Raw genomic sequence first — 25,340 nt, forward strand, 5'->3', positions numbered from 1 at the left:
TGCCTAAATCAATGCTGCTTATTTATATAACGGTGAAATCCTCAATGGTCATATTGAAAGGAACCCTGGGCTTTTGCACTGTATTAATCTGATGGCCTTTGAGAACTAAAACAGAAATGAAATAGTAATAGTGTTAGATTTTCAATTGTCTTCCATACTGCTTATGACAACTTCACAAAACCTTGATACATTTCTACTAAAATGAATTATTTATAGGCCTACAGTCTTCATTTTCAAGTTTTCTTTTAAAAGTCTACTGACAAAATTTGTGTATTATAAAATACACAATTATCTGCAATACCTGCCATCATAGTCTAGTATCGTTCTCTGCCCTATAAATTGTCATCTTTCGTGTAACTTATTTGTTTTGTAACTCAAGTGTTGTTCGAAAGCAGAAATTTCTTTTTAGCTCAGGTTATGTTTTGCCATGTATATTTCCATATTGTTATGCATTATGTTGAAGTCAAAGGTGGAATGAAATAGCTTTTCTGCAAAATAACCAAGGGTTGAAGATCATAGAAGACATGAGATATTAAAGATGTTGTAAGGATTTGTTCAGATTCTCAATAATGCGTCCATAAGGGGCCAGGTTAATTAATATGGTAACATTGATCTAGGAAAATAATAAATGCAACCAAACATCAAAACCCCTTGGGAAAGGAGCTAGCAAAATATCAAATGTTAATTCTTCCAATCTTGGAGTGTACATCCTTGAAAAACACAAAATGCTACTGTGAGACACTCTTATCCATTTATAATTTGAAGCACAAGTACTACATATAGCATTCAGAAGTTTTCTAATTTAGGTAGAGAAAAATATTTTTTATCCAAGAGGCAATATTAAATCCGTATGGGAGGTAAGGAGGGAGTTTTAATGAGGCAGGATGAGTGGGTGAGGGAGACACGAATTTCAAAATATGTTCCATAAATTGTTGATCTTAAGTAGGACATTTCCTTCATTTAGGGTGTTGTTATGGTTTGAATGTGTACCCCAAAAAGGATGTGTTGGAAACTTAATTCCCAATGCAACAATGTTGGGAGGTGGAATCAAATGAGAGGAGATTAGGCTATGAGGGCTCTGTTTTTATGAGAGGATTAATGTGGTCATGATGGGAGTGGGTCGATTGTTACAGGAGTGGATTCCTTATGAAAAAACAAATTTGGCCCTCTCTGGCCTCTCCTTTACCCTCTCTTTGCCCTTCTGCAATTGGATGATGCAGCAAGAAGGCCTTTGTCAGATGCAGTCCCTTGATCTTGAACTTCCCAGCCTCCAGAAAAATGAGCCAATACATTTCTATTCATTATAAATTACCCAGTCTAAGATTCTGTTATAGCAGCACAAAATAAACTAAGACAGTTGTCTTTTAACTTCAATATTGAGGCAAAGAACTAAAATGGGATAAAGCTTGCAAATCACATTGACTGGGCTGTTTTGTCTCTGAATATAAAATTAATAAGGTATGTGAAAGTTGTTTACTAAAACTACTAAAAATGCAGCATTTAATTTAAAAATGTCCTTTATTCCAGATGAATGGCTAAAACTAAAATAATGTAGGGCAGAGCAACAAAAACAATCGAGAAAAAAAAGGATTAATATGCTACTTCAAATTAAAAATATATAACCTATTAATTAAAATTACATTATGGCCATAGTTCCTGTTTTAAAGGATTTCATCTCTTTACTAAATTGCTACTGTATAATGTATAATGAGACAAAAAAATACAAAAAATTTAAATTATAAAGAAGCAGCTAATTTCTGGTTCTAGGACTTTGGATAGCATTCATTTGAAATACTTAGAATGATTTACAACTGCTTAATTATTTGTCTAATATCCCATGGAGTACTGGGATTGTAGTTTGAAACTGAGAAAGGGAAATTTAAGGCACTTCCTGACATAGGAAAATATTGGGTTACAAGAATAGTCTTGCAGGAAAAGTGAGTGATAGAAGCCTAATCACCAGGGACATACTAAAGTCAACAGTGCTAAAATATTAGAAGGTTTATTTTAGGAAGCAATTTTCCCCTGCCGGGGTGTGTTTGTGGACTGGATTGCTTACTTGAGCTTTCTTCATCTCTATTGTCCATTTCCATGCCTACATTTGAGTACATAAAGCAACATCCTTAACATTTGAGTTTATATTCTTCATCTCATGCTGCCCAACTCTCTGACATTTTTGACCATCCAAGAAAAATGTGAAAACAAATTTAATGGGGCTTTCTGATGGCTGTCCACCTAAAAGACTATATCATTTATGTGATGTTCACCACCCCTTAAGATTTCAAAATAATGCGTAATAATCTATGACCAACCACAGGAAACCATTATATGGAACACAATGCACTTTAGCGAATGGCTCTACATTGGAAAAATTTCAGATACTATATGAGTTCATTAAGGCAATTATCCCTTAAATTCTGAAAAGACACGACTGGCTTGGTCATGGTTAGTGTTAGTGATTTCCTGTGGTGTGGTGTTTATGATAGTAGCATAAACCCAACATGAAGTTACATTTGCCTGGGGGCAGTTGTAACTTAAGTGCTTGCTTTCTTGACATTTATTCATATTCTTCAGGAAGAAAATGTATTTTTGTTGGTTTGTTTGACCAGCCTTTATTGTTAAAAAAAAAAAAAAGAAAAGAAAAGAAAGACGATAGAACCTATATGGCTCAAAAATGTATGTTACAAATGTACCTGCCAGGAAAGGTAGAGTCCTTCTGTCTTTGGACAAAACAGCCTATTATTTTGTACAACATACTTCTGATGGTGAGATCCTTTTCCTTAAGAAATGATATTCTCCAAGTTGATGTTTCTTAAATCAAGAAGTCAAAAAAAAATACCGCTATGACATTTGAAAATGGATGAAGTTCTGCGTACTGCCATAGGATAAGGGAGCTTTCACTGTTTATCTCACTGAGAACCATTAAGCAGAGAAGGTACTAATGCATGTCAGTAGTATCTACATCATGCACCCTACAACATTCTGGTCAACAACAGACTGCATATAAGATGGTAGTCTCATAAGATTATAGTACTATATTTTACTATGCCTATTCTATGTTTAGATACACCAATATTTACCACTGTGTTACAATTGCCTACAGTACTCAGTACAGTAGCATGTTGTACAGGTTTATAGTCTAGGAGCAATAGGCTCTACCATCTAGCTTAGGTATGTAGTAGACTATGCCATCTTGTTTTGTGTAAGTACAGTCTATGATATTCACATAATGTTGAAATCTTCTAAAGACACATTTCTCATAACATAGCCCTGTTAAGCAACACTTGACTGTATTTGAGTTATATTGTTTGCAATTTATTCAACAAGAAGTCGTTGCTTTTGCTCTCACTTCTTTGTATATAATTTTGGATTTTAAACTGAAACTTTACCATTTATACTGACATCTCTTTCAAAGATATCATTTGTATACTAACAGCAGTACATACAGGATGGAGGAGTTTCCTCAATAAGACTAAATGAGAACTTAACTGCTGTTGGCTCTGCCCCTGCCTTTAACAATCTGTACATGTGAAACAGATGGGGGATTTAGGAACTGCTCATTCTACTTCTATTCAGTTACAGTCTTTTTGAGGGTTGTCTAAATCCTGATAGGTCTGCTTTGCTCATATATTTCAAAATACTGTCAATTCATTTAAACATACATCTAAAAATGATAGTAATATTGTTATACTACTGTCTAGAACAAACATTCCACTAGCTCAAAGCTTAGTATTCAGGAGTCTAGAGCTGGAAAGCAAGACTGGTATTTTTTTTTCTCTTTTGTCCTAAAAGTGATTTCACACAATTTGTTTGGACATTTCTGCATTCCAAATACCAAGCATAGTAAGGGAGACATTTGGTGATATCAGATGTCATTCTTTATTTACATGTATTGTCTAATCTCAAGTTGGATAAGAATACATCAATTTTTGTGGATCTTTTCATTGGCAAAGTTGAATGTACTAAACAGAACAGTGAAGCTTTAAATAAGCCCTGTGACATACTTACAATCTCCGTACTTAAAAGATTATGCATTGTAAATCTTTTGATAGGGGCCAAAATTAAATAACCATGAATTATTCAGTGACAAGCTGAAGGATTCAAGTGCAGATTGGTTCACGGTACTATTTGTTAAAGCTAAGCAAATAAGAAGGGTTTGGCAGTGTGCCTCCTCCCTTGGTTTGTGGGTTTTGACTTTTCAAGCACTCTGACCCTTGCCCTCCTCCTCTGCGGCCATCAGTGGAAAGTTGTAGGGTAGCTCAGGAAGAAAAACAGCATACTCTTAGAAACTTTGGGTTTTTGGACTGGACCCAGGGAAATCCCTGGGAAATAAGAAAGCAGTATTGTTTATGTACAAAAAAGAGACTTATTTATAAAAGATTTAAAGCACTTAATCCATTTTGCAAAGCATAATTAAGTAAAATAAACACCAAATTGTAGAACAGAACAATAAATAAACAAAAAACAGATTTAGTACTAGCCGAGTAGCATGCTTGTAACCTAATGAGGTAAACTTGCTATTACCCAGTATTTATCAAAAAAACACAGTAAGTGGAATCGCACAGACTTGGGTTGAATCCTATTTGGCTGCTCTCTAGTTGTATCGGCCTGAGCAATTTGCTTAACTTCTCTGAATCTCAGAGAGTACTCTACCCAGTTGTTATTATTGTCAATAAAAAAAGATACTGCCAGCCAGGTGTAATGGCTCATAACTGTAATCCCAGCATTTTGCAAGGCTGAGGCAGGCAGATCACTTGAGGCCAGGAGTTTGAGACCAACTCTGGCAAAATGGTGAAACCCTGTCTCTATATTTTCTGTTAGTAATCCAAATTAGTACTACCACTTTGCTCACAGGCAAAGGTAACAGACAGGGCCAGGGAAGGAAGCTATCATTTTCTTTTTGGTGATTCTGAATTCTGTTGTCTTCCTTTCATAAGAACTCAGAGCAGTGTGCCTGCTTCCTCTCTTCCCCATACTCTCACTTTTTGATTTTTCTTGCTAATAGAGTCCACTCTCTGCATTAATTTCTGGAGTAGATTTCTGAATATCTACATTTAAATTCTTTCTGTAATACACCTGAGCTTGAAGTTTTTTCTATCCCATTCAGGCATTTACAGATGAATTCAATTAATTTTTTTTTCTGAAGGCTTACTCTGCAAAATTTTGTATAAAACGCTATAAAACTGCACATAGGCATGAGTCATGGTTTCTACTTCAAAGAACACATAATAAAGTAAGGGTAAAAGAGTACATGATAAAAAACTACTAAATAAAATTTTGTAAGCTTTAATAATTATATAATATAGTAATAGTTAGGGTAATGATGATAGCTGATGCTTATTCCCAGTTCACTATCTGCCTATACTTTTCTAAAAGTTTTGCATGTATTAGCTGATTTAATTCTACCTGCAACCTAAACAGGTTGGCACTATCATAAGCTTCATTTTACAGATGAGGAAACTGAGGCAAAGAGGTTAAATTATTTTCTTAAGGTAGAACAACTAATGAATGACATAACGGTCCCTTAAGAAGAAGCACTGGGTGCCTCGGATGCAGTCGGGCTCTTGGACCTTCCGTTATCCACACACTTAATCCCTGTGCAATGTAGGCACCAAAAGAGCACCACTTCAATTGGAACTGACATCACTCTCTTGAGGGTTTTTATTTAGCTGGAATAGTAAGAAAAAACCCTTAATTACAGCTGGATTGTTCAGGTAATGTTTCCTAAAGAAGATTAGCTTCTGAAAAATTACTAAAAGAGCAGACTGAAATTTTTTAGTAGTATTCAATTTTCCAGATAATAAAAATGATATGAGTGCACTGCAGAAATTTTAGAAAATACTAAAAAGCATATAGAAGAAAATAAAAATTACTCATAATATCTATACTCAGAGTTAATATCTGTTGGTATTTGGGTATGTATCATCTGGGTGGGAGTGTGGGTAATTTCCCTTCTTTGTGCTTTGATATATTTTTCCAACATTTTGCAATGCAAAGAATTATGGTTATAATAAGAAACAGACCAATTGTGCAATACTTTAAAAATATATTTTTTCTCATTAATTTCACTTTTAGAAAGATTTCCTTGAGAAATCTGGAATGACTATAATACATACATATACACACATATATATTCATATATATATTCCTTTATATATATTCTTCAAAATACATATATACAAATTTCAAATATATATATATATATATATATATATATATATATATATATATATTTGGGATTATAATACCATTTTAAAAACTTCTATAATTTTTGGTATAATAATTACCTTCTCATGTTACCGCAAATTTTTCTGTAACCCATTATTAATTGATATAATTTTTTTAGCCAATAGCATGTTTTTAGATATTTAAAGAGAGTGGAATGGAAACATTTAAAAATACTTCCTTTTTTTGACTTCCTTTTTTTGACTTTTCCTTTTAAACTACAAAAGCAATAAATCTTTTTTGCAAAATGCCTGGTAACATAGAGATGTGTTGCCAAGAAACAAGGAGCAATTTTTCCTTCCCCCTGCTCCCTCCTTTTTCTCTCATCAGACTGACCTTCCTACATTCTCCACTTGCTCTGTTATCAATTTTTGGTGTATATCTTTTTGCATTCACCTCTATGCCCATTTCATATGTACACAATCCAAATATTTGCTATATTTATATATGATTTTCTCCTAATTTAAAAAATAAAAAATTAAAAGTGGACTGCAGAGTATTATATAAAATGTGAATACATTTATGCCCAATAAGAATAGTATCTTAAATGAACAGATGAACATCCTTCTTCAAATATAATTTTATATGTCTCTGAGGAGTGTTTTATTAGGCTAAAATCTCAAAAATGAAATCAACAGGTAAGAGGATATTCACAATTTTTAGTGTGTTGATCCACATGGCAAAATTGCCCTACAGAAAGATCAGACTGATTTCACACTTGTTCAGAAATGTCAATGCTGCTATTGTTTCTAGTGTGTCATATTTAATATCACCATGGAATTGTTACTTTCATTATATCAGTTCTTTAATTCGGCTAACTTCCTTCCATTTCCGTGTGGTATCTTGTAATTATCTTTCTTTTTCATTTCAGAGAATCTTTGTTTTATTATAATATTTTGTTGAGAACACAGTTTGAGTTTATGTATCAAAAAATTTTAATTATATAAGCCTATCTTCTTAGTTTTATGTGTAATATTCTTTTCACTGTCCCCATAGTTTTTAGTTTTATTTCTTGTTTGGTTGACTGATTGGCTTTGTTTTCCTCATTATTCACCCTCGATTCTAGGCCTGATATTTACACAAAAACAGTGTAAGTCGATTGTTTTTGAGACTCCTATTAACTCCGTGGGTGTTGTTATAAGTCTTCTCTCAAATTTCAAACTGTACTGTGGCTAAGTTTACATGATCAGATCCTAGATGCCTGAGAAATGTGAGGAGGGCATACGGACTTATGCAAATCTTATGTAGTTGTGTCTTTTCTGTTTTTGCAGAAATCAAGGGCATACAATGTCGTCAAAGTAGTAAAACACAAGGCATATTTGGCCAAAGGTCCAGATTGTTGAGAAGGAATAGTAAAAGATAAGCTGAAGCTTAGACCAGATTTAGAGACCCTTGAAGATAAAAGAAAAATAAAAATATGTGTATTACACTTCACAGTTTTCAAAGTGCTTTGACATGCACTATTTACTTATTCTTAAAATAACTTTTCAAATAAGCCTTCGAAAGTTTATATTCCATGCACAGATCATTCAACTAGTAAGTAGAAAAACAGGGGTTTATTCTTGAGCCTTTCTGGTTCCAGAGCCCATGTTCATTTTTCTACCCTCCGCTGCCTCAAAAGAGAATGATCATCAGAGATTCACTTTGTACAGAGATTCACTTTGTATGAACCATAATCCATTGGTAATTTGCATGGTGGATTACAGAGAGAATATACTTGTCTTCATCTGTACAGGCTATTATAACAAATTACCACAGGTTGGATAACTAATAAGCAACAGACATTTATTGCTCACAGTTCTGGAGTCCAGCAAGTTCAAGATTAGAGATCCAGCAGGTTTGGTGTTTGGTGGGGACCTGCTTTCTGCTTCACAGGTAGTACCTTCTCACTGTATCCCCACATGGTGGAAGGGGCAAACAAACTCCCTTGGTCCTCTTTTATAAGGCAGTAATCCCATTCATGAGGGTGGAGCCCTCATGGGCCAATCATCTCCTGCAGGCCCTACCACTTAACACTACTGTATTGGGGATTAGGTCTCAACATATGAATTTTTCGGGGACACAAACATTCAGGCCACAGCAATACCAAAGAAGGTTCTTCTTTCCTTCTAATCAACCTGTGGCAAATAGCTTAGCATAACTATAATACAGCAATGTGCTTGAGAGTATGAAGTCTGGAGCCAGAACACATAGATTCACATCCTAGTCCATCACTTCCAAGCTGTATAACTTTGGGCAAGTTACTTAACCTTTTTGCATTTCAGTTTCCTCATATTTAAAATGTTTACATTTTAAAGTCATTTTGAAATTACATAAGTAAATATATGTAAAGTGCTTAGAAAGATACCTAACACATAGAAAACTCTCAATTAGTTGTAGTTATTATTGTTTTAGAGCAACCAGCTATTATAAGTCAGCCCTCTTGTGGGGCAATTTGCATCATTTTTAACCTCGTGAAGTAGTTCTGTCTTCTGTTTAGAGAAGGTGAAAAGATTTGAGAAAAGGCTTCCAACATCCTCCTGGTGAATCTTACTTTTCTGAACCATTATAGCACTTGTTTTAATTTGTTTTTGTAATTAGATATTTTATAGTCTCAATTGCATTGGAAGACGCTGAAGGGATGGCTCTTTTTTCCTCCTGTACTTGTCCATTATTGCTGGTTCTGTTGTGCTGTGCCTAAAATATAGGAAATGCTTGATGGCTGTTTATTGATGGTAGCAATGATGATTATGATGTTGGTCATATAGCAGATCAGGGAGCAGAGGGATTTGCTTGTGGCACAAGAAAATACTTTACAGACTTATAGCCTAGGGGAAAGTTCCACCACCTCGCTCCCCTAAAGAAGCTCCAGTAAGTTTTCCAGAAGCTACCCTGAAATAGTCTCCATGGAGTGATTCTTCATTATTTTATTTTGACATACGCTATTTATTTATTAGTAGCTTATTGCTTTTCTATGCTTTACAGAACCCATATTTTTTCCTGACTAGGGAAGACACTCTGAGAAGATAAGTCAGAATTTTGACGCTTCTATTAAGAATACAATGGATCTAGCCTTTGCTTTTACTCTCTATCGCTGACACAACCATGTTGGGAAAAGAGATTACATCAGAAGAAAAGAGTCTTTCTTGCATTTTATTGTTTATATCCTCTTTTGCAGTACATCTGAAACTAAGAGTCTGAGCCAAAAGGTGAGGGAAGGTATCACTTGTTTCTGAAGGCAACTAAACTTCCAAGGAGATAAGTTTTTTGATATGTCACTTATGATTTTCTAGACCTTCTCAGGTTTTGAAACTGTGAGTCAAGGCACGTATATGTTACAGGAAGCGTTTTAGATCTTTCCTGACCAGCAAGCTTCTTAATGTCTCCTGTGCTTAGCAATGTGCCTCAGTATTTAGCATGATGGACTAATCATCTGTGCTCAATAAATATATGTGCACAGATGAATGATGGCAACAGTCATGGGCCACTGTGATTCAGTGAGACTTCCCTATATTCTAGTTTTAAAAACACATATGTCACTAGAGAAGCTTACATTTTGAAAACTGTGCATATCCTTTTTATTATCTACTGCAAGCTATAGATCTTTGTGTTTTTATTATCACCATTTTCATATGCCTTAGTATCAAACCGTTGCAATCATACTACTACTTAAGTACAAGATGTTAGGGGAACAGATGAAAGTGTGAAATTTGGGGTTCTGAAAGAATAGGAATATTTTTAGCAATGAAAACTCATTCAGCTTTTTGATTCAACATTGAGAAGCTCATGTAGGCCATTGGATGTCCAAATGATACTTCACCTAGAGGGTAACTTTTGAGCAAAAGCCTCTGAGAATGTAGAAGCAAATCATGTAGTTAACAGGAAAAAAAAAGAGTTCTACAGAGTGGAAAATGCAAGACCAAGGCCACGAGGGAGGAAATACCTCTTGTGTTTCTGGAGCACTGAGGAGGTTAGTCTGACTGAAGAGCAGCCAGTGAGGGGGAAACAGTGGGGCATGAGATCAGAGAGGTAACACAAGTAATGGAGAGGAAAAAAAAATAGATTGTGTAAATTTTGTAGGTCAGTATAAACGCTATGATTTCTACTCATGATGTTGTTTCTTGAATCTATTAGAATCCATAAACGTAACAGAGTCATTAACGATCTCACTTTTCTAAAATACATTTTTCATTTTAGAGTAGTTTTAGATTTACAGAAATGTTGAGAAGGACAATATGAAGAGTTTGCGTTACTCCTCAGCCAGTTTTTCCTGTTGTTAACTCTTTCTTTGGTCATAACTAATGAACCATTATTGATGCATTGTTATCAAGTAAAGTTAATACTTCATTCACATTTCCTTAGTTTTTACTCAGTGAATTTTTTTTTCAAGATGCCTCTCAGAATATGAAAATAAAACCCAATTTTTTTTTTATTCTTTTACTCAATAATCAATATGGAAGACTTCTGTGACCTCTGGTCACCGAGAAGGGTATCAATTTCTCCCCATCAGCAACTAACCAATTCTGCAGTGGTTACTGGCTGGGTGTCCTCTAATTCAATTCATTCTGACACTATCTACCCAGAGACTGCATTAGATCTCACAGGTTGAGGGTTCAGTCTCAAAAGTCTGCATCCACTTCTGATGTCAATGACAAGCTCCAGGTTATTGTACCTGTGCTTCTGACAGACTGGCTATAAATCAGGGTTTCTACAACCCCCTCCTTGGGTTCAATTAATTTGCCAGAGTGGCTGACAAAATGCAGGAAACACTGAAGTTTACTGGTTTATTATAACTCGTATCCCAAAGGATACTGATGAGCACCAGATGGAAGAGATCCATAGGACAAGGTATGTGGGAAGGGGTGCAGTGCTTGCATGATTTCCCCTGCTGTCCACCCTCCAGGAACCGCTACATGCTCAGCTATCCAGAAGCTCCCAAACTTAGTCTTTTGGGGTTTTTATAGAAGCTATATAGGCATGATTGATTAAATTGTTGGTCATTGGTGATCAACTTAACCTTCAGCCCCTGTCCCCTCCGCAGAGGTTGGAAGGTGGAGCTGAAACTCCCAACCCAATAATCATGCTTTGGTCTTTACAGTGAGCAGCCCTCATCCTGAAGTTACTTAGGGGTGGGGCCAGTCATCAGTTCACTCACTAGCATATATAAAAGACACATCACTTTGGAGATTCCAAGGATTTTAGAAGTTATATGCCAAGAAAGTGGACAATGACCAAATATATATTTTACAATATGGCAATACTACATCACGTCTAGTCATTTTGGCTCCTTAGACAACTAAACACTATGAATGTTTCTCAGACTTTCCTTTTATGATGACCTTGAGAGTTTGAGGGAGGATTGTGTATATGATTTATTTGAAAATCTGCAAGGAAGATTTGTATAATCTCATTAATTAATTAAATTAATTATTTATGTAAATATTTATTGTATTTTGGGGGTTAAAATCCAATGGTACATGCTTTATTTTATTGATCAAGTCTTCCCAGTTTTGTCATTGAGAATTTTATCAGCTGTCTCCTGTATTTCTTTGACATAGCCCCATCAATGTGTGTGTGTGTGTGTGTGTGTGTGTACACACATGTGTTTCAGCATGCTTTCTTATACTACAGATTCTCCTTACTTTCTTATACTACTAGATGCTCCAGGTGCACCTTGTATGTTTCCTCCACTAGTTTTAGAATCAGCCACTTCTAAGAAACCCCAGTTCCTTTCATTGGAGAAACCCAAGGGCCCTGGGTATGCTCATTGCTATTGCTATTGGGATCTCACTGCACTAGGCCCTCTCAGCTTACAGCAAGTGAGTTCATATATCACTTCTAGCTTAACAAGATCACTCTGGCTGCTGTGTTGCCAAGAGATTAAAAAGGAGGGAGACCAGTGGAGAGGCAATTATCATAGTTCAGGAGACAGATGGTTTGGAGTAGGGGCTGAAATAATAAAATACTGCTTGATTTAGTTCATTGCTGGTTTTCAAGTGTCTAGTGTCTACAAAGAGTCTCCTATACTTTTGTAAGCTATTTGGTCACCAAACATTTGAATATTTTGATGAGAAAGCTAAGCGTTGGATACAGAAGATACAGACATGCGCATGACATGAAACTTTTATATTTACACCCACATTCCTGCATATTGTTTAGTATTATTGGGATTATCAAAAACAGTCATGGTGATGATATAGGAAGGAGTGTGAAAAACTAGGCTTGGAGTGGTACCAGCAGTCATAGAAAGGGTTGAATACACAAGAAAGGCAAGTGGATAGGGAATCAAGAAAACTGATATTTAACTATGTATTGGAAAGTAAAGCATTGGTCAAAGATGAATTCAAGCTTTTAGACCATTCTCAGGATAATGACATTCAAAAAAACAATGGATTTCAGAGATGGGATTTATTTGAGGGAGGTTAATGAGTGCCATTTAAAATAAGTAGAGTTTGCGGTAACTTGAAGGTTTTTAAGCATACTTAAATGGAAATATTCAGTTGCCCTTTTTGAAAAGAAAGAAGCTTCATTTGGAGACTAATCAAGAATCCAGTAACTTAAAAGTGTATGGTTTAATGTATCTGAATGATGCATATTTTAAAATTTGTTATCATTCTTGTACAGCAAACTTTTCCCCACCCATTTAACATGCACATGTATATTAAGAGCATATGAATTTCATATTGTCAAAGCTTATCTTGACAGGTAATAATTATGGCTGAATATAATTGATACTAGCACTTACTGAGCATGACCAAGCATTTAATAATTTCACTAGTCATCTCCCTAGAACTGTAGAAAAACAGAGAAATTGTAAATGCCTGTTCTCTTATGGTCAAGTTTTATAATTAATTTATTATGAAAAATAGATTGAAACAATAAAGTTGTCATATGTTACCACGTTAGTCTCAAGGATCCATTTCATGTTTAATAATGTTTACATACCTGAAAAGAAAAGCCATGGATTGACTTGATAATGTCTAACAGCTGCTAAGATCTGGTACTTTTGTAACGGCTTCAAAGGAACTGGATCAAAAAGGAATTCTTTAATAGAATACTTCACACATTAACATCCTTTAGAGGAACCAGTTCAATTAACTACATTTTGTAGATAAATCCTCAAATTCATCTAAGAAACCTATGTAACACCTACTGTTGTTCAAATATAAAGAGATCTAAATGAGATCAAGAATGTGTACACTTTGCCAATTGTACATGTGAGGGTATTAATATTCTCAATTCTTGTGAGCTCTAAGACTTGTTTCTGTAAAACAGATAAAAATTTTAAAATGTTACACTTGTGCAGACTTTTGCAAATGAAAACCTTCTTTGCATGCATTATCTCATTTAGTCCTCCAAAGAGCCTCACACTATTAGAAAAGTAGATAGGATTATTTCTAGTAATAATAATAATTTACAATTTAAGAAAATAGGTAACTTGTCTCAGATCCAACAGCTGATGTATAAACAAAAAAGCAGCTGGAACCTAAATCTTCTGACTTTTAGGCTGAAAAACGTTCACCATTACACTATTTTCTTAGAATTCAAAACAAATAAGAACATGTCACATAGTTAACACCTATGAGCTTCAATTTTCTCATCTATAAAATGGGCATAATATTAACTCTCCTACCCACTTCACAAATTATAATTAAATATAAGTTAAATCTCCAAACTATATGAATTATCTTTTCACGAAACAGTTTATAGATTTTTTTGAAGTCCCTTCTTTTTACTGCATTTGCATCCAAATTGATTATGTAGAGATTTGAAAATTGACCAAGATTTAACAGTTTCCATGCTCACATTTTACATATAATAAAGCCCCTCCCTCTAATGTTGACTTTATTAATTTTAGGATTTGACTTGAAATTTACTTTTCTTTTGAAGCTCATATTTTTCATAAGTGGCATATGTCATTACTATAATCAAGAGCATTAAAATTTTAAAAATAGTTATTTCAAGTATTTTAGCATATGTCATAAGTGGCTTCAAATTACTTACTGCTTTGATTTTAATACTTTCTCTGCAAATTGGAAAGACTGTTGGGTGGGTCAATGTGGGACTGTTTACTTGAGGAACAGAAAAGTACTGTCCTAGCTACTTTGGACTGTTATAACAGAATACCAGAGACTGAGTGCTTAAAACAACAAACATTTATTTCTCACGGTTCTAGAGGCTGCGAAGTCCAAGATCAAAGCCCCTGGCAGATCTGGTGTCTGATAAGGACACTCTTTTTGGATTGCAGATGGTAATCTTCTTGTTGTATTCTCACATGGCTGGGAGAAAAATAATCTCTCTCATATCTGTTCTTATAAGGGTACTAATTTCCCTTTAGGGTGCCACCCTCGTGACCTGATTACCTCTCAAATGCCCTACTTCATAATATCAACACATTGGGAGTTAGGATTTCAACATATGAAGTTTTGAGGGCACAAGCAATCTCTATAATAAGAACCCTGGGAAAAACCACTCTAAGGGAAGGAATTGTTAGGAACAAAGTATGAACAAGAGGTCAGAGTCAGAGGGCAGGAAGTATGTTGCTCATCCGTGCTATTTTCCTCTCATCTTCCCCAGTGGATCTTTGCCTGAAATCTGAAAACACAAACACTTTAAAACACATTAGTAGTGATTTCACTGAACTCTTCATAATCCGAAGAACATCTGAATTCCAGAAGCTAGATCACAAGAGAGAGTAAAAGCTCTTTCTGTGCATGCCTTTTCAGATGAAACACATTGAAACACAACATGGAAGGTACCCATGAACTAAGGCAGCAAAACAGAATGATCAGGATAGGGCAAAGCATTTTGAAGATTTCATGGTAAGAAAACATATCACCCTTGGGAACCAAAGAGAAAAAGATAGTGGTGAAGGCCAGGAGATACTCAAGAGGAAGAGTTCTTAAGCATGAGAACGAGGTTGAAAGAATTGAAGGCCTTGTTTTCCAACAGACTAGGTGGGTCATATTAGCACTTCCCCAGGTCACACTAGCCTGGGTGGTTACAGTAAAAAGCAGGGAGAGTTTTATTAGCTCTTCCTCACCCCTGGCTGGCATGATCTGTAAAAGTACTGGTACCATTACATTCCTTTACGCTTAGACATGTGAGTTAAAGAAGGTGATTTTAAGCCACAAAAGAGCAGAAAAGACACAGACAATGCATTTACTATGTTGTTTTTGTTAAAAGTAACACAGGTAAATATATTTTAAATTATTTGAAAAGTTGCCTTTTGGTCTAATTTAGTCTGATTTGTTTTTTTTTTAATGAAGGTTAATTTTACATATTTCAATTTCAGTATGTTTTCTTGAAAATGGTTATTTCTTGAAATGGTTGTTCTTTCTTTCATTGGTGAGAAAGATGTGCAAATTGGCCTTTCATCTTATTTGTTTTTACTTAATTGAACTGTTTCCTCCGAGCTGATATTCATATTCTTCCTAAGTACTAAGAACTTACTTTTTGTGGATGATCTCTATAATCTCTGAAGTTGATAGTTCCAGGATAAACAGAACCATTTAAAGATTAACCCTCCCCTTTTAAAATGTACTAAAAATTTCTAAATTTATTATTATCAATGTGATTATCTATAAAAATAGCATCTTCAGGTTTTCTATTTTAGTTTATAAATTTTCAAAACTGAGTTTGGGTTATCTGTTTGAACAAAATATATAAATTCTGAAAACAAATTTTAAATCATGTTGTGAATATTTTAGTTAACTTTTATTTGGAAGCCATATATAGGTTCCATCCTAAGAACTTTGCAACGTATTATCTTACTTGATTCTCACAACATCTCCATGATGATAGAAAACTATTATATTATGTCTATTTTTCTCCTAGTCTTCTAATGCATTTTTTTAAAAAGAGTACACATGAGAAATAATACATGTTTAAAATGATTCAGTTGATCCTACCATGTGGGATTCCTTCATATGCTATCCAGAATATATCATATTAAGGCTAGTCTCTCTTTTGAATAATACCAAAAAGCTACAATTTTGTAATAGAATTAAATGCATACAAAGAGATATGCTTGTTATTAATCTATATGTATATAATAAAAGATGTCTATTGATTGTTTTCACTGGAGAATTTTTTTTCTTTTCTGGAGATTATCTATCAAAACTTCAATCACTCTGTTCTACATGTGGTTCATTTTGCTTCATAGTTTGAAGTAAAATGTGCTTATACAATTGAAAATTATTTAAAGTCATTTTTTTACTTAACAACAAGTCTATAAAAGTATAAAAACCAACTGGTGCTGTATATATTGAAATATAAGCTACCGAGTTGTTGACTCAATGGGAATTCATTCATTGATTTATTTAATGAGTGTTTATTGGTATCTGTTATGTGCCAGTCCTTGTTCTGAACACTAGTGGTGTTACAGTAAGCCAGTCAGTCTAGGTTCTTATTCTCATAAAACATAGATGGATGAGACAGACAATGAACAAGTAATCGAAGAAATAAAGAATGAAAATATCTTTTACGTAGGTAATTGAAAGGAGAATAGAGAAGAGAATAATGAGATTGCACATTCCTGGTGGAGAGAACATTAGATAGTGTGGTCTCTGTGGAAAGGTGACATTTAAATTTAGATTTATTTCAATGAAAAATTTCAAGAGCAATTTCAGTTAATATTCTCTTAGAATTTGGGGATGGTTATCAAAACAAGATTAGGGAATCATAAAATATAAGAGCTTAAAATACTTTAGAGATTGTCTACTTGAATACTTTCATATAAAAATCAGAAAATTTAGGAAGAATTGGTGACTCGTCTAAATTTTACAGCAAATGTATCAGAACTGTGGAATAATAAAACACAGTACTCTGGATTTGCAGATCCATATTCTTGTCTTACTATGTTGCTTGAATAAAAATATATTTTTCCATATAATATGTCCTTCCATGCAAATTCAAATGCATCAACACCACCACCTATTCTCAAAAGCATTTGATAAAGTTTATTTTTAAAACAATAAAAACTGTTTTTTAAAAGCAAACAAAACAATAGGCGATAACTAAATAATAATTAGGTACAGCCTAATTACTTAAAACAATTACATCAGAAAACTGAAAACAAATATAACACTATAATTAAACATGAAGATTATAAACAAACTTCTTGGAAGTCAAACAAATATAAGCACAAAGAATTAGATGGGTTTTAGTTTCTAATTCAAAGAATCTCATCAGTTCAACAAAAGAGAAAAATATTTTTAATTATGAACATAATTAGTCACATGAGTTTTTGCATTGGGCACAGTGAAAAATACAGAGGACACCATCTTCAATTAGAGGTTAATAAATGCAGGTGCTTTACAAATTGATATGATTATGGACCCTCAATGAGGGGCATTGGTATAATATTTTTACTTCTTTAAAGGCTCTCTTCTTTACAGGAGAAAGGAAAGAGCAGGTGGTGGAGGAAACAATAACATTGTCCAAAAATTTGGACAGTTCTGGTCATCTGGTCATCTTCATATTGGAAGGCATTTTAGAGATTTTTGAAGCGAACTTATTTTCTTAGATTTCTCTAAGAAAATTTTTCTATCTCTGATCTATTGAGAGTAGCAAAAAGACTTTCAAAAGGAATGTAAAGAGTAATGGTCCTAAGTAAAAGAGACAAGATACCTATTACAAATTCAGACCTGTCCTGATGTATTTGAAAGTGAAGCAAAGCAAATCAAATCTGTCTAGTGAATAAGGATTCTCAAGATGAAGACTCACTTTACAGAAAGCATAAGCTTGGTCCAAGGATAATGGGTGAAGGATCAGGCAGAGTAATTTGCTATGTTGCAGGGTATGTGTTTTATGCAGAAAGCCACGTCCACTTCCCATTCCATGCTGTTTTGCCAGAGTTCTGGGAAGAGCAAGAGGAGACAAAAGTATGTTTTAATCCTTATGATGTGTGATAACTCCTCTGCCTTTGAGATCTGGATAGCTTTACTTGAAAAAATCTCATTTTTTTCACTTGGGGTAGCCTAAAACTTTCTAAGATTTCTGTAAACTCTTGGAAAATCATTGCTCTGGCTCCTGAGACTATACCGATTTCATCTTGTGTCAATGTTAATACAGCACTTTACCACTTTCTCAATAAATCCAATTAGTCAAGGCTTTTAAGAAATTTTGCTAGAATTAGCAGATCAAACTGAAAGTGTAGGGGTTACTGAGAGAGGTTGTATAGTACTGTGCAATCTTCTCTTAATATCTTCTCCTCCTCCTTTCACGCTCCAGCTTTTTCTCTTTCTCACCACTTTACGGTCTTACACATCTTCTGTTGTTTACAAAATGCCCTTGAGCTCTCAGTCTCCACTTCAAAAGCCCACTGGACACTTAACAAAATATTTCTTTCAAACAATCACAGGGTTTTCACTGAGAAATTCAGATGGACATTTGTTTTCACCATCTTATTCCTGTGTCGTATCACTAAAATCTCTTTGAAGATGTTGAGTGCACAAAGCAACACAAATGCTTTGTATCATATGAAACAACAAAATGGAACACAAATTTAGATGTAGGACATTTCCCCTCCTTCAGAGAGGTAATGCTTGTAGCACAGAACTGAGCTATTACCATCAGCAGTGACAACAGGAGACAGCCACAGTGGCCTAATCTAGACTAGTTTCTACTGGTGTGACAACCAGAAAACCAGGGTTTATAAGACCAGCAGGAGGAGGACAACAGCTTTCTTTCCTTGGTGTTGAGCCCTAGCAGTGATATTGGGAACAGAAGGAGACCCACCGCAGCTGCTGTAGCAGAGGGTCAGAACTGATATAATGTGATTTGGGGATTCAAAGTTACAGTGCCAGGGATGGGAAAGAAGAAGGCTGTTTTATGTATTAGATAGGAAGACTGCATCCAGCAGTAAACATGAAACATTCTCTGCAGAATTCCTGAATTAGTCGGAAGAATTTGAGTGAGAGCTGGGGTTTCCACAATGCTGTGGATGAGGGCTAAGCCTGAAAAGTGCTATTGTGTCATCGCTTTTGTGATATTATTCCACTTCTCAGTTTGATGTAGTCTGAACAAATAAGGGTTACACTTGCGTTGCACCTACAGGTAACAACTAGCAAAAGACCTCCTGCTCATTTCAATAAAACCAGTGCTTTCTTTCAGGAGTCACAAGTGAATTCCAATGCCAGTGCCACCTTTTTCCTGAAATAATTCAGACTCCACTTTACAGTGATGTTGTTATGGTCTCAGAGACCTGTAACCTTCATTTGATGTTTATAGTTGGAAGGAATATTTAAAGTAATAGAGAAGGCCAAACGCATGTGAAACATTTGCGAAGGTTCAGTAATAACTCAATGCATCACGTGCCATTTCCCCTCTCTTCTTACTTACTACCTAGATATTTCCTGAGGATTAACATTTTAAAATTGGCACCAGGAACTTGACAATTATAGAGAAACTAGTGGCTGGGGACTAATTATTCGGTTTATGAATTATTTGCCTAGCCCTTTCCCCTTTCTCTTCCCAATTTTTTTGGCATTTGCTTTAGCTTTTATTATTATGTCTATGGCACTCGCTGATATAATAATAGGAATTCTAATAGCTAATGATTTTGGATATTTCCTAGGTTCTAGGTGCTTTACATACATTATATCTTTTTATCCTTAGAGCAATCCTTGAGATAGTTATATGATTCTCCTATATTGATTATTACAATGTAGCTAATAAACAGTTAATTATTCCTATTATATAATGTTTATGATATTATTAATGGTTATTCTTATTTCCCCTATTTGTAGCTGGGAATTAAGAAAGGTTGAGTTTTCCAATCTCCCATAGGTAGTAAATGCCAGTGCTAGGATTTCAAACATGAGTTTGTCTGGTACTAGAGATTTTACATTATTTGCTATGCTATATTGCTTCCTCAATTTCAGTACTAGGAATGCAGTTGGGGAATAATGGAAAAAGGCTTGTTTTGCACATCAACAACTGTGGTCGTTCTTTAAGATGACTGTTTGCTTAAGCTGGAACTACATTTTCCAGAATCTCTTCCCTGTATGGTTGCCAAAAGATACATTCAAGTGAGATTTCAAAGGCAGAAGCAAAGGAGCAGCCATGATTCTCTGAAAGTCAGGTGGTCAGATTCAGGGAGAGAAGGATTCCAAGAGGCTGACTGCTTGATGTTTTCTAGGAACAAGGAGGACTAGAGTGGAGAGAGTGGCTGCAGTAGTATAAGTGAGGGGCAGCGAGTAGCAATTAAGCCAGGGACATAAAAGGAGACCATTAGGACCTTGTCAGGATTTTGGCTTTCGCTGAAAACAAAACAAGAAACCAGGGGTGGTAGTTAATTTTGCAGAGCATCGATGTGATCCTACTCATCATTTTAAAGGCTCACTCTGGCTTTTGTGATAAACAAAGCTGAAGTCACAGGTAAGGCTGGGGGGCACTGAATATTGGAAACTCAGCATTTAGAGTCAAGAGACTGGATGTGATTATTTAGAGATTGGGTGTCAATAACGTGGTGAGGAGGTGCGAAGATAGAGGCCTGAGGTACCCCATTTGTTTTTTGTGGAGACAGGACTTCACTCTGTCACCCAGGCTGGAGTATAGTGGTGTGATTATGGCTCACTGTAGTCTCGACCTCCCAGACTTAAGGGATCCCCCAACCATAGCCTCCTGAGTGGCTGGGACTACAGGCATGCACCACCACGCCTGGCTAATTTCTGTACTTTTTGTAGAGATGAGATTTTGCCATATTGCCCAAGCTGGTCTCAATTTCTGAGATCAAGTTATCCACCTGCCTTGGCCTCCCAAAATGCCAGGAGTTATAGGCATGAGCCACAGCACCTGGCCTCCAATTTTTATTGAAGATCACAAAGATGAAGCAACAAATGAAACTAAGGGAATAGTCTGTAAAGAAGGAGAGAAAATAATGTTCTGGATGCCAAGCTGAAAATATTACATGGCAAGAGTGGTTATCTTTGTTAAATGATGCCAATAAACTGAGTAAGATGAGTACTAGCAAGAATTGACTGAAAATTAGTCAATGACTTACTATTTAAAAAGGGACCTAAAATAAAGGAAGGAAACAAAAAAGGTAATAAATGATATCACTTCTTCATGGAAAGCCCTTTTTCCCTCTTGGATGGAAACTTCTATTCATCTGGAGTTATCAACCAAAGACAGTATATCTGTGAAGACTTTTCCAGTATTTGTTGGTAGAAATAATTCTATCATTCTCTGTATTCCCCTAGAATTTCCTTTGCACCTCCATTGTGACATTTGCTAAAATGAATTATAATTAGTTAAAATTCTTTTTTCCTTTTGTAAAATGTGATCTTCTAGGAAGCAGGAACTGTATTTTATCTATGAGTCTGGCATATATGAAGACGAATGTTAAGTAGAAATAACATTTACTGTGTACCTAATATATACTAGACATCTGATAAGGAGGTTCATATTTTTGCACTGAGTTTTTTGATAAAATTACTATTATTATCTAATCAACTAACTTTAACCCACATTTTACAAATTTATTAGCTCTGGTTCATAGTTGTTAAGTGTACACATACACACACACACAATGTGTATATATATATATATATATATATATACACACATATGTATGTATATATGTACGTATACATACATATATACACACACACACATTGATGGCAAAACTGGTATATCTGACCTCAAGACTCATGATATTCCCACTAAATTATAATTAATAAATAAATAGACAAAAGAATGAATATGTAGTACTTTCTCTTCTTGAATGTAACTACTGGAATGATGACCTATCCTAAGGGTGCTACATCCCAGCCCAGCCCCTCAATAGACACAGAGATACCACCTTGAACAGTGACAGCAACAGAGCATTAATCCCTTCCTCATCAAACTTCTAACCTTATATATTGCATGTTTATGCTAAATGCTTGATATAGATATGTTCAAATAAAAAAAAAGGGATCTCCGTCAGATAGTTTCTTTTACTACAGTACTAGAAATTCAAGCCTCAACATTATTTCCCTTGTCAGGGCAATCTGATCATGAGCTGAAATTTAAGTATCTTTGACTATACTGCTTTGCCTTCTGACATTATTTGTATTCATTTATAGTCTAGATTTCTTATATTTGCATTTCTCTCCATCTTGGATGCTGTGATGAGCCGCCCAGGCCTCCTTTAGGGAATCTTTCAGCTTTTGGGAGAGCTGCCAACTGAAAGCTCTCAGGTGGCAGCCTGGTACAGGGATTGCCTTGGATGCAGAGATCTGCCTTGCTCAAGGTCACACCCCCTTAGTACTATTTCTTGTATCCAGTGATTGATCGATGGGGAAACATACAGGCTCACTGTCTCACTTGAACTCAGGATAACCTGAATGGTCATTACATTGTCAGAACTCCCAGTAAGACCCGCTGAGCCATGTGTTGAGACTACATCAGAACTCACTGTCTCCCTCTATCTAATCCTGCTTCCTTCCTTTCCCTTCCACAAAGCAGTCCCTACTAAACCTCCTGCTTGTTAATCTCAGAGCCCGATTCCCAAGGAGTTTGAAGCCCGAGACCCCTGATGTTAAACGACTTCATTACATTGCAATGTCCTCAGCCTCAGACAGGTTTTGGTGGAATCAGGGAGTCAGAATACATGGGCTGAAATGCCATGTCTACCATTTATCAGTTGTAAGATGTTGAACAGATCAGTTAACATCTCTAAGCCTCAGCTTCCTCACCTGGAAAACGGCACTAGTAAGCATGGGTTAAACAAGAAAAATAAATGTAAAACACTTAACATACTGACTGATACAGGGAAGCTCTCAATATATGAAAAATATTTTGGTTATCATCAGCGGAGGAAATATACCTCTTCTGATATATTGAACAAAAGAGTCAATGGAGATGATCTAATATGACTTCATTTCACAGATAAAAGAGGATTAAGTAATTTGCTAGACATGCATAGTTAGTTGGGGCAGAATTGAAACTAAAATGCAGATTTCTTGACTCTACTATGTTATGCTGACTTTATCTTAACCAAACATCTTGAGAGTATAAAAATGGTGCTAGATAGCAATAGTTGTATTTCATATATCTAGGCTTAAAAGTAGTTAGGTTTTGGGAGGGATTATAATCATCCTTAGGTTATGATTATGAGACTAGGATTCAATTAAGATTCTTTATTCAAAGGAACTTGTGTGAAAGTACTGGTATTTTTTAGTTGTCTTTGCTTCAGATCCCAATTGAAACCCTGTATCTACTAAAAATACAAAAAAATTAGCCAGGCATGGTGGCAGGCGCCTGTAATCCCAGCTACTTGGGAGGCTGAGGCAGGAGAATCACTTGAACCTGGGAGGCGGCGGTTGCAGTGAGCCAAGATCATGCTACTGCACTCCAGCCTGGGCGACAGTGTGAGACTCTGTCTCAAAAAAAAAAAAAAGAAAAAAAAGGGAAAGAGAGAAAGGAAAGGTCTGGGAACTTTTGGCTAAAAACAATCTTCTATATTTCCAAAGCATCTTCAGGACACAATTTAGATGTTCTAGGAACTTATGGCTCTTTTGAGCATCTTATTGTCATAAAAGAATCAAAGTCTTTCTGCTCCCCAAAGGTAAATTATCCTTTATTTTTTCCCTAAAAAAAAAAGAGAAAAAAAATCAGTTTTAAAAAGAAAAATACCAAAGACAGATAAAAATTACTTTATCTGGATTTTAAATTGTATAAGAAGTGACCATAATGTTCAATCTAAGGATTATTGGAGTCATAGATGACATAATAAAATTTAACATTTTTTTCTTGCTTTCTTCAGTCAATACTTAACCAATCAACAAATACTTATTGAACACCTACAGTAAACCCGGCAGCTTCTACCCTTCTTTATCTTCCAGAGGAGTAAAACAAATTTATTCCATTAAAATTTGAACTTTCACTCTCATATATTTACAGAAGACATTTAAAGTGTTAAGTTCAAGAAGCACTCATTACAGCATTTGCTTTGTATAAACTTGAAGAACCTGTACATCATCCAAACTCTCATCTCTCCATTAATACTGAGTCAAATAGCACTGCCTTGATACATAACAATAATTCAGAGATAACTGATAAGGTACTTACAGAAAATGACCAAGCATTTAATTGACTCCTTAATTCTTAAGGGTCATGCTATGTAAGGTAGAACATATATGTTCCAAATATGTTCAAACTTTATAATTCAATTAACAGTAAATATGATTCACATCAAAATGGTGTCATAGGTGAGTGGAATTTTGATGCTCTAATTTATGAACACAGAGCAAGAAATATTGACCCTGTGGCAAAGAATAAATATCAATAAAACAGCAGGTCTCTAATAAACAGATATAATTACCAGAATGATCTGCTTATTTACACATCAGGACTACTGTCTTCACATATCTTAACCTGCTACATAATTATCAAATAAAACAGTAATTCCGGAATAAGTAATATCAATCACACAGAGTACGGCATGGTTAAATATTTTCATCTTTGTGGGAAGACACGTGGATATAATATGTAACAAAAGGATCACTCTGAATCTTTAAACAGTGAACTAATACCAAACTGGCGTCTGAAAAACCAATCAGCTATCAAGAGGGCATTGCTATAGTGATTCTTACCTGTTTTTGACTGCAGTGAGAAAACACAAAACTGTCTATTTTAAGACATGATGCTTCTTCATCTTTAACTTTTAGTTTGGGGGTTGGGGGAGTTCCTTTTGTAAAATCAGAATTCCTTAAACGAGTGCATTTGGCACTGTGACAGGAGCTGCTTCTGCTTTTCAGGCAACTATCTCAGTATTCTTTTTCTTCCAGTGCTTTGATGGGCACACTAAGAACAGTTTCTTGCTGAGCTGTGCAGCTCCTACAGATGAGGACAGCAGGAGAGCAGGCAGATAGCCAAGGCAGAGAGAGAGAGGAGCGGAGATCATAGCCAAGGCTGCAGAAGGAGATCTGCTACACACTGGCAGAAAAAGAAAAAGGTCTGCTCTGAACCCTAAGGTGCTCCTTAAAGCCTGCTGGTTTGAGGATTCACCCTCAATTGACCTGGAATTGAGAAAAAGATGGGAAAGAGAATTATTGAGATGCTCGGTTTATGAGTCACCACCACTTTGCATCATAATAGGTTTGGTAAAGTCTCATTGGTAGAAATAGTATGCAGGTGTAGGGAGC

At 35.4% G+C, this 25,340-nt stretch overlaps 1 long non-coding RNA gene across 1 annotated transcript; it reads right to left on the reverse strand.

Moving 5' to 3' along the window:
- Positions 1-17,140: 17,140 nt before the first annotated feature.
- LOC124904204 (uncharacterized) lies at positions 17,141-25,136 on the reverse strand. Its single transcript, XR_007066194.1, has 2 exons — positions 24,789-25,136; positions 17,141-18,064 (listed from the first exon to the last, which is right to left on the reverse strand). It is a non-coding gene; the product is annotated as an uncharacterized LOC124904204 (long non-coding RNA).
- Positions 25,137-25,340: the final 204 nt, after the last annotated feature.

Source organism: Homo sapiens, chromosome 1 (genome assembly GCF_000001405.40).
Source record: "Homo sapiens chromosome 1, GRCh38.p14 Primary Assembly".
In the NCBI taxonomy this organism is placed as follows: domain Eukaryota; kingdom Metazoa; phylum Chordata; class Mammalia; order Primates; family Hominidae; genus Homo; species Homo sapiens.